Source organism: Homo sapiens, chromosome 10, assembly GCF_000001405.40.
Source record: "Homo sapiens chromosome 10, GRCh38.p14 Primary Assembly".
Taxonomy (NCBI): Eukaryota; Metazoa; Chordata; class Mammalia; order Primates; family Hominidae; genus Homo; species Homo sapiens.
Window position 1 is genome coordinate 116,334,125 of NC_000010.11, and position 18,546 is coordinate 116,352,670.

Consider the following 18,546-nt stretch of genomic DNA (forward strand, 5'->3'; position numbering starts at 1 on the left):
GGGACCACCACAGTGAGCAAATGGATCAGATTATTACTCTAAAATGTTCTTTTCGTTCTGAGCTCCCGCTCCTCCCCGTCTTTACTAAGATTTCTCGCTTATGTTCCTACTGGAAAAGTGGGTTTTATTCCTGGGAAATTCTGAGGCCTTCTACCATTATATTTGGTGAACATGCAGTAGATTACTTTTCAAAATTAAGATAGTTTGATTGTTTTAACTCTTTATAAAAGTAGTGTTTATTTATTGCAAATTATTCCAAAAATAGAAATTGGCAAAAAGCAGAGTGAAAATCACCTATAATTCCACCACACGGTTAACATTTTCATAGGTTTTCTTTCAAAATTGTTTAAATGGATTTATATTTTTCTTAAATAATTTGCTTTTTTCTATTTACTGTAACCTAGACATCTGAGTAAATATATATATAAATAAGCAATTTTAATTGCTGCGTAGTATTCCATTAAATGTAATACTATATTTTATTTAACTAATTTCTTATTGATAAGTATTTACTATTGTATTAATAAATTACTGTTTCTATCATCATTGCAGTGATAACTGTATACATACATCTTTGTGCACTTATCCTAGCTTTTTAGGGTAAAGCCTTATAAATCAAATTGCTGTGTCAATGGGTCTGTAATTTTTAAGGCTTTGATTATTTTTAAATTGTCCTCCAGAAAAGTTGTTCCAGTTTTATTCTCACAGTTTTACTACTCATACACTGAAAATTAATATGTATTACAAATATAAAAATGGCATCTTTTTAGTTATAATTTGAATTTTTTAACTTAGTATTTTTAATTTATATGTATATTTACCTATTTCTATCCTGTCCTAGTCTTTTCTGGTTGGCATCTAGCTTTTTATTATAGATATTCTTTCTTTATCATTTGTTGCAAACTTTATTATTTGTATCTTGGCTTTTTATGACATGATTTTCTAGTAAAAGTTTAGAGTTTTGTGTTGCTGGAATTTTTAATGTTTTAGTTTGTTTCCGAATCCATTCTAGGCTTGGGAAAGCCTGTCCCACTCCAAGATTTTAAACAATATCTTTTTCTAATACTTTTATAGTGGTTTTCTTTTTTAAAATATTTTAAAGAAAAATGACTGTTGTCACCTGAGTAAATGTCACATGTTCCCCATTGATCGGAAACACTGTCTTTATGATACAGTATTTTGCATGTGCGTGTATATATCTATACTTGTATCTGTTTTATATATTCTATACTATTAATCTATTTGTTTTGGCACCAGTATATTATTGGCTTAAATATATTAGCTTTAAAATATCTTTGGCCCTCTGGAAGGGTAATTTCTTTTTCAGAATTTTCCTGATTCTTTTCATAGTTTATATTTCTAGATAAATTTGAAAATCATTTTGTCAAATTAAAAAAGAACCAAAATCATTGGGGTTTTCATAAGATTGCACTAATTTCATGTTGTAATTTATGAAGAATTGATGTCTTTATAACTCTGAGTCACACTTAAGAATATAACATCTTTTTCTGTTTATTCAGATTTTCTTGTATGTTCCTCAGTAGAAGTTTTTCATACAGGTCTCAGATATTTCTTATTTGTATTTTGTTTGTCTTGATTTTGCTGTCACGAATGGGATATTTTCCATGCTTTTTTCTGTTTTTGTTGGTAACTAGAATAGATTTTGGTATTTATTTTGTTACTAGCTTCTTTACTAAACCCTTTTTTTTATTTCTTGATGGTTTCTCTGTATATTTTCTTGGATTCATATATAATAATGGGGCCAGGTGCGGTGGCTCACATCTGTATTCCCAGCACTTTGAGAGGCCAAGGGGGGTGGATCATCTGAGGTCAGGAGTTTGAGACCAGCCTGGCCAACATGGCGAAACCCTGTCTCTACTAAAAATACAAAAATTAGCCAGGCATGATGGTGTGCCCCTGTAATCCCAGCTACCCGGGAGGCTGAGGCAGGAGAATTGCTTGAATCCGCGAGGCGGAGGTTGCAGTGAGCCAAGATCATGCCACTGCACTTCAGCCTGGGCGACAAGAGTAAGACTCCATTTCAACAACAACAAAAATGTATATTTAATATGTATAAATATTATATTATATTATACATGTATTATATTTTATATTATATATAATAGTATGTAGTATATATTATATGTGATATTATATATTATATATATTACATATGATACATACGTAATAATAATAAGGCCACTGTGGCTGGAATGGGGCAAGTGAGGAGGTGACTGATAGGAGAGATGGCTGGAGAGGGAGTGGGGGTGAAAATCATGTAAAGCCTTATAAGCCATTGTCAGGAGGTTATTTCCTTCCTTGCTAACTATATTAGGATTATTATGTCATAGTAAGTTATTCTTTAAGCATTGCCTCTGTGATTTGGAAAAGTATAAAGATAGATCTTTTTTACAAAAACCTTAATATCTGCTATCAATACAATATTCATTAATGTACCTTAGTATTTAGAATGTCTTTTATCATATAGTCATAATAATGATATATTTTTCCCAATTGTTATGGTTTTAGGTATGTGAAATTTTCTACGTAACTCTTAGTTTTTTTTTTAAATGTAAAATTGCCTATTATGCTATGGGGCAGATTATTTAATCAGCAAAATGTCAGTTCCTCAAGGCCGAGATTATTTTTAACAACAGCAACCACAACAAAGAGGACCTATGTACTTTGCTTGCTTGGACCCTAACATTAATTTTAAATCCTCAGTCATTTTCAATTTTTAAGTTCTTCTGGCAGAAAAATACCTAAAGGCACCCAGGCAGCAAGAGTAGTGAAAAGTCACAAATCATGGCTTTGCTGAAAACTGACCTAGTTGACCAGATAAGTCAGCTCACTGGGAAAACTATAAGCTCCATTAAAAAATCAAATATCCCAAGAGGAATAAAACAAGGAAAGGAAAAACAGTCTTTATTGCTGAGAGAAGCAGAATTAACCAGGGAGTTGGCACTACTATAAATTAGAATTTTCCAAAACAGCAGTATTTTCTGACAAAGCTTGGCTATGTGATTCTAGATTTTTTTTTTTTTTTAAACAAGAGTTTCACTCTCGTCACCCAGGCTGGAGTGCAGTGGCACAATCTTGGCTCACTGCAACCTCTGCCTCCCGGATTCAAGAAATTATTCTGCCTTAGCCTCCTGAGTAGCTGGGATTACGGGTGCCCCCACCACACCTGGCTGATTCTTGTATTTTTAGTAGAGGGGGATTTCACCATGTTGGCCAGGCTGGTCTCAAACTCCTGACCAGGTGATCCACCCGTCTCGGCCTCCCAAAGTGCTGGGATTACAGGTGTGAGCCACTGTGCCTGGCCTATCACTTTAAGGCTGTGTGCAAATATATTTTTTCATTTCTAGTAGGAGGACAGATAGAAATGAAAAAGAGAAAATTTTATCACTGCCATTAGGAACTTCCCACCCTTTTCTTCATATTGTCTGTATTCTTTTGGGATCTTAGTGGATAACTTAGGACACAGAAGCAATGGATTTTTAAGTTTTTGTTTACTATAAAATAAATGTTCAAGCTACATAGATATAAAATATTGCCTCAGTTCAAACCTGACCCGATATATTTAGAAATATTTTTATGTCACACTCTAACATTTTATGTATTATCTTCCCAACTCTGATCTCCACCTTTGTAACAAAAAAGAGGTGAGAAGATTTTCTGATGATTATTTATTCATCTTTTGATCCTATCAATACATTCAGGGTTATATTTCGAATATTTACTTAAATTTTACATATCAGTAGATTTAGTTGTCAAATGCAGGAACATAAAAAATAACTTAAGAAATCAGTTGGGACAACAGTAAGAACAAAAGGAACCATCTGAAACATTCTACGAATAGGAGACTGTGAAAAGCTATTTTATTTCTGAAGAGTTAGTAACTTAACAACGAGGAACTGGGCAGATTCAAAAGTTTTTGTTTCCTTAGTTCCACTAAAATATGAAGGCAATATATTAATAATAATAGGCCTCATCTAGCTTCTGCAACCTTGATCTGTTGATGTCCTTAACAATGTGAAGCAGTATATTATAGGCCTCTATTCTTGTCCTTCCTGACTTTAACTTTCCCAAACTCCTGCCGCTTTCTCCGTCATTCTACTTCTCATACTTACCAAGACTTTTGTATTAACATTTTTTAACCATAGATCCTATGTAAATTTGAAGATTAATGTACCGTAATCTTTCTGTAGTTATTGACTCTCTGGGACTCTTTAGATCTGGATTAAAAGAGACAAATATGGAAGTAAACAATAAAGACAGAAGGTAAGACAGAAAGGGAATGAAGAGGAGATAAACTAATAATAAAAATAAAAACAAAGAAGCAGAGAACTTAAAATGGATGATTTACATAAAATTTTAGGGAAGAGGAAAATTATGGATATGCCCTTTTTATAAATCTTTAGAACAGCTGTCTACTTTTTAGTTTTTGGGATATAGATTTCATTTTTTAGGTAATGGTGAAATATTCTGGTTAAGTGCCAATATGTCACCTAGCTCTTCTTAATATTGGTTATTCTCCCTTTTAAGAAAGAAGACGTGGGCTCAGTGGTAATTTAAGCTCTTAGTCATTGATAGCTGAAAGATAGCACCTTAATTTCTGAGTCCTTAACATAAGGCTTTCCTGAATTTGAATAATAGATTTGCTTAAGTCTCATTTAGAAATCCGTTAGTTTGATAAGTAATATTTTCCTCATTTTTGAGTTTTGGGTTTGACATAGATCTTTTACAACAGATCAGTGGTATACATGGACTTAGAATTCATGAATTGCGTTTCTGAAGGGCATAATACTTGAAATACCTTAGTAGATTAAACCCACATTTATCCAGTGCATTATTTGGTCTCTAAAGCATTTTTTGTGGACATTCCTGGGCAGTGTCCACAGCAGTAACTCAGAGTTAGGTATATACTGCAAACACCCTTCTCAGTAAGCTCTGGTGGATCTAGGATTTGGTAATTTCCTTAAATGTTTATTAACCTTATATATTTTCAACTCACCATCACACCTCAAAGTCTCTTTTTAGCTCTAGAATTATCTTTTCATTACTTTGAAATAGTTCTGACATTTCCATGCTCACATCATGATTTAGAAGAAAGAAAGGCAGAAGACCTGAATTTTAGTCCTGGATTTGCCTCTAATTAGTTATATAGCCTTTGTTAAGGTGTTTAACTTCTCTGGACCTCATTTTATTATCATTTACATAATAAGCATTAAATAGTCACAAAATATTTTTTATTCTGAATAAATGTGGTAGATTTCATGATCATACCCTAGTTTCCCCTTGTTATAAATTTCTATATGATTTTATAGATTTGGCCATATGTTTTCTAATTTCTGTCTTCTGAGACAGAAAAATACTAACCACCCTATTATTCCTTCCCCCAATCTCTAAAATATTATCTCAGTTCCTTTGATTATGTGAATTGTACCTCTCTAATCTTTCTCTATTGATGCCTTTCTTAAAATTGGGTTGATGAAAACAGTACCAAGTACTGAAGATATGGGCAGATGGGCTACGATCTTATATAAATGTAAGATCATATTTTCTGGTTTTGAAAATTTGAGCAACTTTTTTAATGTCAATATTTCTAGGACATTTTAGCCATAATATTTCAAACTGTCTCTTAAGCCAACCCTTTTGCCTCTGGACTAGACTATTTCTAAGCTCTTTACTATTCAATATTGTCTGGGACAGAGATTTCACAACCTGTCTCTCACCTTGAGGAAGTTCTTATAACTACCATAAATCTTGCTTTCTGCAATTTAAGTTGAATTTATATCCTTTTTCTTTTCCCTGTGGAGATGGGAACAGCCCCAAACTGGAAACGATGCTTTCTTATGAGGGCTAGTACTGAACATAGTAGAAAAATTACAGTATTTCCAGTCCAGCATCATTTTTAGCTTTCATATATTAAAGCTTCCTAACTTCATTTCAATATTCATCTCAGGAGATGTTATTTTTTAAGTTCCAAATGAAATAACAGTTGCATGTCTAACATTAATGTTTATTATACCTTTTGCTACTTAGAACCAAATGAAGTATTAAAATAAAAAATGAGTTCTCAAAACCCATTTAAGGTCTTTAGCAGACTCGTTTTTTATTTGATATAACTATAATCATGGGACTGGGTTTTTGCCTCTGCTTTGCAGATTTTATCTTATTATTTTATTAGTTATATTATGTACATGATTTATTCATTCATATATTCCTTATAAACTGTGAAAATAGAAACTTATTATCTAAAAACAAACAGTCTTAAAGCAGATTTCAATGTGTGTATTCAAAAAGCGTTAGTACCTAGCTAAGAATTCTTCTAGGTATTGAGAGGAAAAAGAAAGCACATTCTCTGCCCTTGAGGAGCCTATAGTCTTATTAGGGGAAGAGATTATAAAATTGTAACTATAAAGTACTTAAAAAATAATACAAGATAGTGTATATAAAATAAGATGTTTGATGCTAATTTTATTTTGCATTTTAAAGATTAATACAGAATATATTTTATACTAGACAAATCTTCTCTGTTACCTAAGGTACTCTAAAATGTCTAATTAATTGTTTTATTCTGATTTCTGTTTTTGTACTTTGAAGGTTCAACAGTTTTTTGAAAAATCCTTCTTCTTACAGCTTTTGAAAGCTCATGAAAATGCTTTAGAAAAACAGTACAGTGAAATTACAAACCATAGGAATATGCTTCTTCAAACCTTTGTAAGTTTCCAGCCACCTAGAAAAATCTATTTCACTAATATGTAAAAAAGTATTCAAATATACTTAAGTATACTTTTAGAAAATTATCCATGTGCATATTAGCAGGTAGTACTGCTCAGATACAGGAAAGTATTAAGTGCTATTTAAAACCAATTGGTAGAGTAATACAGTTTGAAAGAAGTATATGGGCAGGGATGTAATATAGCAATTATTTTCAGTTGTAATAAGCACAAAAGAAACAGTGGAACTGATTTGAATTGCTCAAGCATTGAGACCTTGGATAAAATCGTTTTGAAAGGCAGAAAGTTTCACACTTTAGGCATATTTATGGATGTGGCTAAAAGGATGGATATTGTTAATCTTTTTCTGTTAACTCAGAGCCAACAGCCTGAGCAATAGTTTTGAATGACAGGGCCAATTTAGAAATATGACTTGTGATTGACATTTTAAAGAAAATACATTTAAAGATATTAAAAATACATATCTGAAGTCAGAACCAACACACTTGGTGGTTTGAAATGACGTGGCCAGTTTGAAAATGAGGCTTAAAATTCATTGACATAGCTTAGAAAAATATGGTAATGTTTATATTCTAGCATTGTCAAAGAGTTTAGGTTTTTGCATTGTCCACAGTTTTTGGAAATTCTTATTTCTCTGCCATGTTGATACTTCATAAAATGTAAACTATTATTTAAAACTGATTTTGAAGTGAATATATAATTTTGATTTCATCATCCACATTTTAAAAGGTTTTCTTGGCTATCCTTGTTTGTTTGTTTGTTTTCCTGTAAGGCAGTAATCCCTTTAAGTGTAAATTTTAGTTTTTCAGTTTGGCCATTTAATTACTTTACTCTCCAGTTTTATATTATAATTATAAAATGTAATATGATTCTGAATTTTAATACACAAATAAACAGATATAATGATGAGTGGTAGAATATCTACCTCAATAATTCTCCCAAAACTTTAAGATTAAATCTTTCATCTGAAGATAGTTGTTACTATATAATAGCTTCAGTTTTTTATTAATATTACTATGAGAAAAAAACATTTTTGCCATAAAACCAGGAAGTGTAACTATATACTTTCATTGTTAATAATTCCAAATTATTATATTTTAAATAATTAAGGAAAAATATTATTGCAACTAACACCTATATTTGATCTTTTATTTATGTTTTTCAGGAGGCTATAAAGAAACAAATGATAGAGGAGGAAGACAAATTTATTAAGGAAATTACAGACTTTAATAATGATTATGAAATAACAAAGAAAAGAGAGCTTTTGATGAAAGAAAATGTCAAGATTGAAATATCTGACTTAGAAAACCAAGCAAACATGTTGAAAAGTGGTATGAATAAATATCACCTCATTTGTCTTGCATTAATGAAAATAACTTATTTTGAATGAATGAATTTTCCAAAAATTTAACTTTTTCATGAGCAAATTGGGTTATTGCATAGCGATTCTTTTACTTTTATTGATTTAATGAAGATGTATCTTCTATTGTGAGCAGTTTCAAATGATTTAGAAGTACATGTGACATGAACATTTGGTCATTCATTTAATAAATAAATATCTGTTATGTGATAGGCACTGTTCTAGGTCTTGAAGATATAACAATAAAAAGTGGAGGAAGAAAATATGTAAGCAGACATTTACAGCACATTGTGATGGAAGCTACAGTAGGGGTTAGGATTGGTGCCCTAATCCTCTAACAATCCAGGAGAAGCTAGGAATAAGTTTACACAGTGGAGTGGAGAGAGTTTTATTTCAGGAACACTAGTGAAGGTTTGGGTCTGTGTCCCCATGCAAATGTCGTGTCAAATTGTAATCCTTAATGTTGGAGGTTGGGCCTGGTGGGAGGTGATTGGCTCATGGGGGCAGGTTTCCCCTTTGGTGCTATTCTCATGACATTGAGTGAGTTATCATGAGATTTGGTTGTTTAAAAGTATGTAGCACCTCCTGCTTCTCTCTGTTCTTCCTGCTCTGGCCATGTAAGATGTTCCTGCTTCCCCTCTGCCTTCCACCACGATTTTAAGTTTTCTGAGGCCTCCCCAGCCATGCTCCCTCTATAGCTTCCAGAACCATGAGCTAAGTAAATCTCTCTTCTTCTTCTTCTTCTTTTTTAATAAATTACCCAGTCTCGGGTAGTTCTTTATAGTAGTGCAAGAATGGACTAATACAACTAGTATGTGGGTTATTGCAATCTTTGATAAGATCCTGAATTAAAGCAGTTGCCAAGTAGGGAAAGTCAAGGATAAATCAGTTTTCAAACTTCAGAGATTCTATTATAGCATTAGCTTAATGTCCAGTATTTCCTCATCTAAACTAGGTTCAATTGCACATGAGGCTCCTTGGATGTAGTTGCTTATGTAACTCCTTGAGTACATGTCCTCTTGATCTGAAGACCTCAGCCAAAGAAACAGTTGCCCTTCATATTCCCAATATACTATGGTGAGATAGGCATAGGATAATCACTAGTGATACTTCTGTTCAGAAAGCAGAAAAACTGGAGTCATTGTTATATAGCAATTCTGAAATTGAGCCAGGCAAGTATTGGACATTCCTTGATTAGGACTCAGTCATCCTCCCTCCTGGGAATGATTCCCCATGACTCTTGACACTACTCTCTGTGCTCCTATTTCCCTTCTCTGATCATTCGTTTTTTTTTTTTTTTTTAAAAAAATATATATAAAAGATAGCTTGCATTTGCAATTGTCCTGTGCCTGCTTCCATTCTGTAAAAGTTGCGTATCATTCCTTTTTTTTACTGCCTCTGTCCATTTCAGTCCAAGCTCACTGTGTTCATGTAAATACAGTGCTCTTAAAAACTTTGTGGGTCTCACGTGAATCCTACTGAGGCTCACTTCATTAGGGAAAAGCCACAACTACAAATTTCTTTGAGATAAGCCCTTTTATACTTTGGCCTTTTGCTAAAACTACTGAGACAATATTCTTAAACTTCTTGGCCCTATACTTTGACTGAATGGTTCTCTGAGGCATCACCTTGGATTTTTCTGAGGTTTTAGGAAAGGCTTTTTAATTCACATGCTAGATTTAGTCTTTATGATTTCTTAAGAATATTGGATTTTTTTCTTTACCCTCAAGACATTTCTTAGTGGTGAGAATGAAGACAGGGAGGGCATCTTGTAGTAAGGCTACCAAAGTTGTTTATTTTAATTCCAGAACAACCATTAAGGAAATAATCCAAAAACAAATAGCTAAAAGGACAATATAGAAATTAAAATACACATTTAATCTGAAAGAAAGTGGGAAAGGGAAAGAGGGGAACAAAAACACAGAACAGACAGAAAACTAATAATAAAATGATACACTTGAATCCATTTGCAATCATGCATCACTTTAATAATGGGGATATGTTCTGAGAAATGCATTCTTAGTCAGTATCATCGTGTGAACATCATAGATTGTACTTACACAAACCTGGATGGGATAACCTATTACACACCTGGGCTATATGGTATAGCCTATTGCTCCTAGGCTGTAAGCCTGTACTCAATGTTACTATACTGAAGACTGTAGGCAGTTGGAACACAATGGCAAGTATTTGTCTACCTAAACATATATAAATCTAGAAAAGGTACAGCAAAAATACAGTATAAATGATTTTAAAAATCTCTATAGGGCACCTTTATAGGGTATTTACCATGAATGGAGCTTGTAGAGCTGGAAGTTGCTCTGGGCGAGTCAGTGAGTGAATGGTGTGTGAATGTGGAGGCCTAGAACATTACTGTATGCTACTGTAAACTTTATAAACACTGTGTATTTAGGCTACACTAAGTTTGTAAAAAGAATTTTTCTTCCAAAGTAAATTAACATTAACTTCAGCTTACTGTAACTTTTTTACTTTATAAACCTTTTATTATTTTTGACTCTTCTAATAACACTTAGTTTAAAACACATGTTGTATGAATATACAAAAAATTTTTTTCTTTGTATCCTTATTCTACAACTTTCTTCTATCTTAGAAATTATTTTTTTACTTGAAACTAAAAAAAAAAAAAAAAACCTAAAACACAAACATGCACATTAGGCTTACACAGAGTCAGTATCACAATATCACTGTCTTCCACCTCTACATCTTGTCCCACTGGAAGGTCTTCAGGGACATGGAGCTATCATCTTCTATGAGAACAATGCCTTTGTATATGGAAATACAAATGACTTACAAAATCAAAACAATTTTAAAAAGAATAAAATTTAAGGATTTATATTCTGTGATTTCAAAATTTACTCAAATTCTATAGTAATCAAGATAATGTGTCACTGCCTTAAAAATAGGCATATAAATAGCTGGAACAGAAGAGTCCAGAAATAGAAATGCATATTGTCAACTGGTTTTCAACAAAGATGGAAAGGCAGTTCAGTGGGAAAAGGAAAGTATTTTCAATAAGTGGTGCTAGAAGAATTGGACATCCATTGCAAAACAATGATCCTTAACTCTTCACACCGTATTATAAATTAACTCAAAATAGGCATACACCTAGACACAAAAGCTAAAATTATGAATTTCCTAGAAGAAAACATAGGAGAAAATCTTTTCCATCTTGGAATAGGCAATGATTTCTTAGATGGGACACAAGAATCATGAACCGTAAAAAGAAAAACAGATTTAAAATAAATTGAAAAGACACTTAAGAAAATTAGAAGACAGACAACAGTCTTGGAGAGAATATTTGCATTAAATATATCTTCCAATGTACTGTTATCCAGAACATAATGAACTCTAACAACTTAAAAAATAAGAAAGGCAAAAAGCCAATTATAAAAGGGAAAAAAGTTGAACTTCACAATAGAGTACTAATGGCCAATGAACATGTGAAAAGATACTCAATATCTTTAGTCATTTGGAAAATACAAATTAAAACGGCAGTGATATATCACTGTATATCCACTTAATTAAAGTTAAAAAGACTGACCATACCAAACGTTGCTGAGAATGTGGAGCATCTGATACTCATATGGTAGTGATGGGAATGTAAAATTAATGGTACAATCACTTTAGAAAATTGTTTTGCAGTTTCTTAACAAGCTAAATGTACATTTACCATACAGCCCAGCCACTCCACAATGAGATACTCCAGAGAGATGAAACCTATATCCTAACGTTTTGGCAGTTTTATTCACAGTAGTCAAAAATTGAACATAACTTAAATGTCCGTTAAGAAGTGAATGGTTTCGGAGGCCGAGGTGGGCGGATCACAAGGTCAGGAGTTCAAGACCAGCCTGGCCAACATAGTGAAACCCCGTCTCTACTAAAACCAAAAAATTAGCCGGGCGTGGTGTCGGGCACCTGTAATCCCAGCTACTCAGGAGGCTGAGGCAGAAGAATGGCTTGAACCCAGGAGGCGGAGGTTGCAGTGAGCCAAGATCGCGCCATTGCACTCCAGCCTGGGTGACAGAGTGAGACTTCGTCTCAAAAAAAAAAAAAAAAAAAAGGAAGTAAATGGTTAAACAAAATTGACATATCTATGCAACGGAATACTTGGCAATAAAAATGACTAATTCTACTGATGCACTACATGGACCTATTTCAAAATAATATGATGATTAAAAGAAGCTAGACACATGCAAACTAACGTAAAGCCATGGCAAGCAGATCAATGGTTGCCTGGGTCAAAATGAATGAACTGTGAAGGGTCACAAATAATCTTTTGGGTTGATAGAAATGTACAGTTTCTTGCCTGTGGGTGTTTCATAGGTGTCAGTGACTGTCAAAAGTCATGAAATTGTATGCTCTAAATGAATATACTTTATGTAAATTATTCCTCTTTAAAATTAAGAAAAAAAAAAGTCCCTGATATCACAGATGCTATTGGAGCCCTCTAGTTTAGTTCTCTTTTTCTAGAAATATGGATTTATTTTAAAAGATTTGTTTTCAGAGTACCTGATATTGTTGATTTTTTATTCTTTCAGAAAGTCTGTTTCTAGGTATTTCATAACATTTTCATATAAAACTTTAATCTTTTTAATAGCAGGGACTTTATTTTGATTAATGTGCTGGCCCCAACAGTATGAATGAGATAATAATAAATTGATGACTGCTTCAAAAGGAGAAGCACAAGATGATATGAGAACATATATAAGTAGACTTAAACTGGACTAGGAAGTTAAGGAAGATTTCCCTGAACAAGTTGCCTTCAGAGTGAGGTCTGAAGAATGATACTGATTAGCCAAGTGAGAGATTTGAGTGTAGATGTCAATTAGATAGTTGTAATTTAAGTCAAGAGCTCAGAGATAGTTCTGGGCTAGAGCTATTAAATTTTGGGACTCACCTAGAGAGAATGTATTGAAAGAAAATGGACAGTACCCTGCAGAACCTCAGGATTTTCAAAAACTTGAGTGAAGAGTCTAAGACGGCTTCATGAAAGATGGGCAGAACACGTTACTGAGTGGAGTTGACATCACCTAGGGAGAGAGTATTTGAAGGCATGATCAACCCATGTTGATTGCTGCTGAGCTGTCAACTAGAATAAGGACTAAGAAGCAGCAATCAGAGGTCATTGGTGGCCTTCAGGAAAGGGAGCAGATTGAGGTAATAAGCAGGGCAAAAGCCAAATTGTAAGGAGTTGAGCAGAAGGAAGAGCAGAAATGGGATATCTATTAATAAAATTCATTACATTAATAGATTACAGTTGGAAAAGCATATGATTGTTTTTAAAAAGGCGATGTAGAGGGAAGGAGGGAAAAATGGTGGAGGAGAGGTGAAAGGAGAGGAAGAAGGAGAGGGAGAGCTTCACTCTGACATCATGATTAACAATGAAACTCTAGAAGTATTTCCATAAAAGTTAGTAATAAGGGAGGGTATCCAATATCATCACTATTATATAACAGTGTTCTAAAAGTATCAGCCAGTAAAATTAGAAACACAGTAAATATTGGAAAACAAAGACAAAATTGTCATTAGTTGAAGCTGATACAACTTGATTTCACTGGGTTTTCTATGTTTAGTTGCATCCTCCACCATTCTTCCCTCCCTCCCACTACATCTCCTTTTTGAGACATTCATATTTCCAACTGTAATCTATTGATGTAATAAATTTTATTTATATATATCCTATCACTAACCTTACTTAGCTGTGCACTCTTAGTCTTCTAATGTATTACTGAATTTTATTTGATAACATCTTCTTTAAGATTTTTGCATCAGTATATGTGAGATTCATCTTTGTGTGTGTATTATGTTGATTTCACAAAAAGCATACTGACGCTTTTTTCTTTCTCTGCTTGGAAAAATGTACGTACTATAATTATCTATTCCTTCAGGGTTCAAAAGAATTAACCTATGAAACGGTTTGTGGCAACTCTTCTTGGTGGTGGTGGTGGTGGAGAAAGAAGTTGTTCAAATTTTAAGCAGATATTAGAGCTGTTGACTTCCCAGAGCAGTTTAGCTTCCATTTGTCTTCTTACCTGTCAGTGTTTGCTCTTCCATTCCCACTTCTAATTCGTGCCACCACATCTGTTATTTTCTGGCATTTGACTTTTCTCCTCTTTCTTCCTTCATTCTGACCTTGCCCACTGAGCTTTTAGCCCATAACTATGATTAGTCAGCCAGTTTCATTGGGTTTTGAATAATCTCCATTTTTAACTTCATAGCTATTTTTATATTTATACTATTTTCTGCTACTCAGTGTTTTTTTCCCACTGCCAGATATTATCTTTGATTTATTATTTTTTAACCACAGGATTGGAGCCTATTCTTACTCCTTGAGATTGCCAAAATGTGAACATCCATTTTTAAAAAAGATATTATTAATACTGTACTATTGTATTAAGCCTCTTAGGTTATGTTCTGTTTAAATATGGCAAACCAAGCTTTCCAACCTGTTTTGCCATCCCTGCAGCATCTAGTGCCTCTCCACCTTCCAGCCTCACCCAGCAGCTTCTTTGTGCTAAAGGCATGCTGCCCTCTTTTGTGTTCCTAGATTGTACCCTGCTTCCTCCTGCCTCAGGACCGTTGACTGTGTTCTATTTGGAATACTTTTTTAATCCTTTATCTAGTTTGTGGGTCCCCAACCCCTGGGCCAGTACTGGTCCGTGGCCTGTTAAGAAGTAAGCCACATAGCAGGAGGTGAGTGGCGGGTGAGTGAGCAAAGCTTCATCTGTATTTACAGCAACTCCCCATCACTCACATTACCACCTGAGCTCTGCCTCCTATCAGATCAGCAGCAGTTATTAGATTCTCGAACATAAACCCTCTCGTGAACTGTGCATGTGAGGGATGTAGATTGCATGCTCCTTATGAGAATCTAATGGCTGATGATTTGCCACTGTCTCCCGTCACCCCCAGATGGGACGGTCTTGTTGCAGGAAAACAAGCTCAGGGATCCCACTGATTCTACATTATGGTGAGTTGTGTGATTATTTCATTATAGATAACAATGTAATAAAAATAGAAATAAAGTGCACAATAAATGTAATGCAATTGAACCATCCTGAAGCCACTCCTCTCCCTCCCGTGGTCCATGGAAAAATTGTCTTCCACAAAAACAGTCCCTGGTGCCAAAAAAGGTTGGGGACTGGTGATCTAGTTAACTTTTTCATTCTTCTGATCTCAGCTCAAATGTTACATCTTCAGGAAATCCTTCTGTGATACTCCACCCTCCCAATTCCATATTAGGTCAGCTCTTCTGGTTATATTCTCTCATTGCCCTCTGTGCTTTTTCTTCAAAGCATTGTAATTACACACTTGTATGATTATTTGATTCCTGTCTGTTTCTTCCACTAAAGTATAAATTTTCACAGAGAGAGGAACTACATTTGCTTACAAATGTATTTCTGAAATGTGCTTAGTTTGTTCACTCATTCAGTAATACTTGTGCACTTTTTGTGTATCAGGCATTGTTATAGGACCTGGTGTTACTGTAGTGACCAAGAAAAGAAGAAAAAAATCCCTGCCCCCATGGAGCCTACATTCCAGTATGAGAGAGGGAGGGAGTGGAGAAAAATAAGGGAGGGAAGAGGGATAGATAGATAAGGGGTGGGGTTGCAGTGGGGTGTGTGGTACAGTTTTACATAGATGTCCAGGGAAAGCCTCATTAATAAGGCGAGTTTTGAATAAGACCTGAAAGAGGTAAGGGAATCAAACAAGTGAATACCTGGGGGAATATCATTTCACAGAGAAGGAATAGCTGATGCAAATCACCTGAAGGGAGATTGTGCCTAATCATTTTTTGAGAAAGAGCAGAGCCTAAGGCATTTAGAGTTAAAGGAGAGGTCATGAGATCAGAGAGGTGACAGGAATCCAGATTTAAAACCTTGTGGGTCATTCTAAAGACTTTTACTGAAGTGAGATGAGAAGCCATTGGAGGACTTAAGCAAAAGAGCGAAGGGTCTCACATTTGAATAGGATTACTTTGACTGCTATTGAGAACACAGTTAAGGGAGGTAAAAGCAGAAACGGAAACCTAGAAGACAGTGGCTGTAATCCAGATGAGAGATGATGAGCAGTTGGATCAGGGATGCAGCATAGAAGTGGTAAGTGGTATTCAGGTTCTAAATATGTTTTGAAGGTAGCAAGGAGGATTTCAAGATGGACTTGATGTGGAATATGAGAGAAATAAGTGTTAAGGTTGACTTTAAGGTTTTTGGCCTGAGAAACTAGAAATGTGGAATAATTGATATTCAATATATCTGTTTGTAAAATGAATATTTATTTTAAACATTTGGTAATTCATAGATAAAACAGTTCATCACTTTTGGCTTCAAAATAATGGTTGTCATAATGTTTTTCTCAAAATGTTCCTCTTACTCATTTCTCCGAGTTGTTGAATTCATTTTTCTTAGATGTGAGATAAGCAATATATGACACTTTTCTTTGCTTGGCAATATCCTTTAATGATTGGCAATGTACATATGAGGAAGACAATTCACATGTTAAAAGATGTAAATTAATTTTGATTGTCTTAGTTGGTTTAATATTCATAACCATAAAAGCTAGCTGTTGATTAGAACATTGTGGGTTTTAGGCCGTGGAAGAAATTAAAAAGTGATTGCCACATCAATTATACCTAAATAAAGCTGTAAATAAAAATAACAATAAAATAATAGTGAGGCAATAAACAAGTAGGAAAAAAAGTTATCACCACAAACACAGTGTTTACTTTTTTCTGTTCTATAAGCCTGATAAGAAATTGGCATATTTGTTTTATTTTTTTCTTTAAAGGATTAATCTTTAGACTTACCTTTTTCATTTAGGCTAAAGTGTCAGGATTAAGAAAGATATATTTCAGAAATACTTAAATCCAGTATTTCTCCATCATTCTTGCCTAAGTTTTACAAAGATTTTCTTGTGATAGAATGTCTGATAAATCAATTAATAATGAATAAAATATTGTATCTTTTTTAATCTGTTGAATATTGTGTTATGGTATCCTGGATTCCCTCTATTGAATATTAATATGTAGTTATATTTATATTTTAAACTTTTGTTTATTAAGGGAGCAGAAGGATAAACATGAACGTATTTTCTTTTCATTGAATTGTCCACTTTCAGTTACCTACACTAGTGGACAGAAACATTGTGAATAATCAAAAATATTTAAAGTCAATTATATGATTTATTTTAGTTTTGTTCAACATGCTTTCTTGAGCATCTACTGTATATACTACACCAGGCACTGTTCAGAAATTGGGATTTAAAGATGAATGAGGCATAGTTCCTGTTTTCAAGGAGCTTGTGATCTAATGTGGAAGAGAGACAAGTAAAAGGATAATTTAAATATTATGTGGAGAACTTTTACGTATCGTCATGAGGAATAATTTTATGGAATTTTCCCTTCTATCACAACTAAAAGACTGGAGAAAATTATATGAGAAACTACTTTTAGATATTGAGGACAAGAGAGTACAGGACCACGATCCCTGAGAGAAGGGAAACAAATGAGGTAAGCCCTAATTGCCCAAGCCTTCTCACTGGATATAGTTTTTGGATAGTAGCACTGGGAGGAGGAACTTAAGCAATGCAAAATGGTCTGAGTTGAGGAAACAAAGATTGGAATTTAGGGAGGCCAAGTTAGCTAGAATTTTCAGGACAATGTACTTGAGAGGACAGATCCACACAGAGAAAAAGCTCTGGAAATCTGGATGGAGATCCTCTTGAGTCTTTGGATGTACTTGAACCTGTGTATACAGACAGGAAACCCCACTGGGCTGAGTAAAGAAAAACTACTGGGGAGCAATAAGGTGGACAATTCTAAGAGCTCATATGGGAATGGAAGACATTCATGTTCCATCTTGTCACAATAGAAATATTTCATTAAACAGAAGAGTTCTGCCTTAATAGAAGGATTAAATTAAATTAAATATTCTTCTAGACCTACCCTAAAAAATTCTTATAAACAAGATTTGCACATGACCCATAAGTAGCTTACCTGCCTACTAAAACAAACATCAACATCCTTTATGGGAAGACAGCAAAACTCATTTAACAAAATAGTAAACACAATGTTTGGTATACAGTCAAAAATTACTAGACATGTAAAGAAGCAGCAAATTACAACTCAGAGCAAGGAGGAAATTTGGTCAATAGTAACATACCTAGAAATGATATAGATGATGCAATTAGAAGGAAAAATAATTAAAGCTTTTAGAATATTCTAAGTATACTCAAGGACATGAGCATAATGAGGAACTAAATGGAGGATATAAAAATAACCAAAGACACAGAAGAAATATTTGACAAAATTCAACAACTTTCATGATAAAACCACTCAATAAACTAGGGATAGAAGGGACTTTCCTCAATCTGATAGAGGGCATCTATAGAAAAACCCACAGCTAATGTCATTCTTAATGA

The 18,546-nt window shown here is 33.9% G+C and overlaps 1 protein-coding gene across 5 annotated transcripts in view; it reads left to right on the forward strand.

Annotated features, from left to right (window-relative positions):
* CCDC172 (coiled-coil domain containing 172) overlaps nt 1-18,546 on the forward strand; it is a 55,582-nt gene that overhangs the window by 9,677 nt on the left and 27,359 nt on the right. For 4 of the 5 annotated variants that reach the window (NM_198515.3, XM_011539771.3, XM_017016206.1 and 1 more), the window contains 2 exons: nt 6,610-6,726; nt 7,912-8,077. In NM_198515.3, coding sequence (NP_940917.1) covers nt 6,610-6,726; nt 7,912-8,077 — 283 coding nt within the window. The remainder of the gene's footprint in view (nt 1-6,609; nt 6,727-7,911; nt 8,078-18,546) is intronic. The other variant, XM_006717820.5, reaches the window with a different exon arrangement.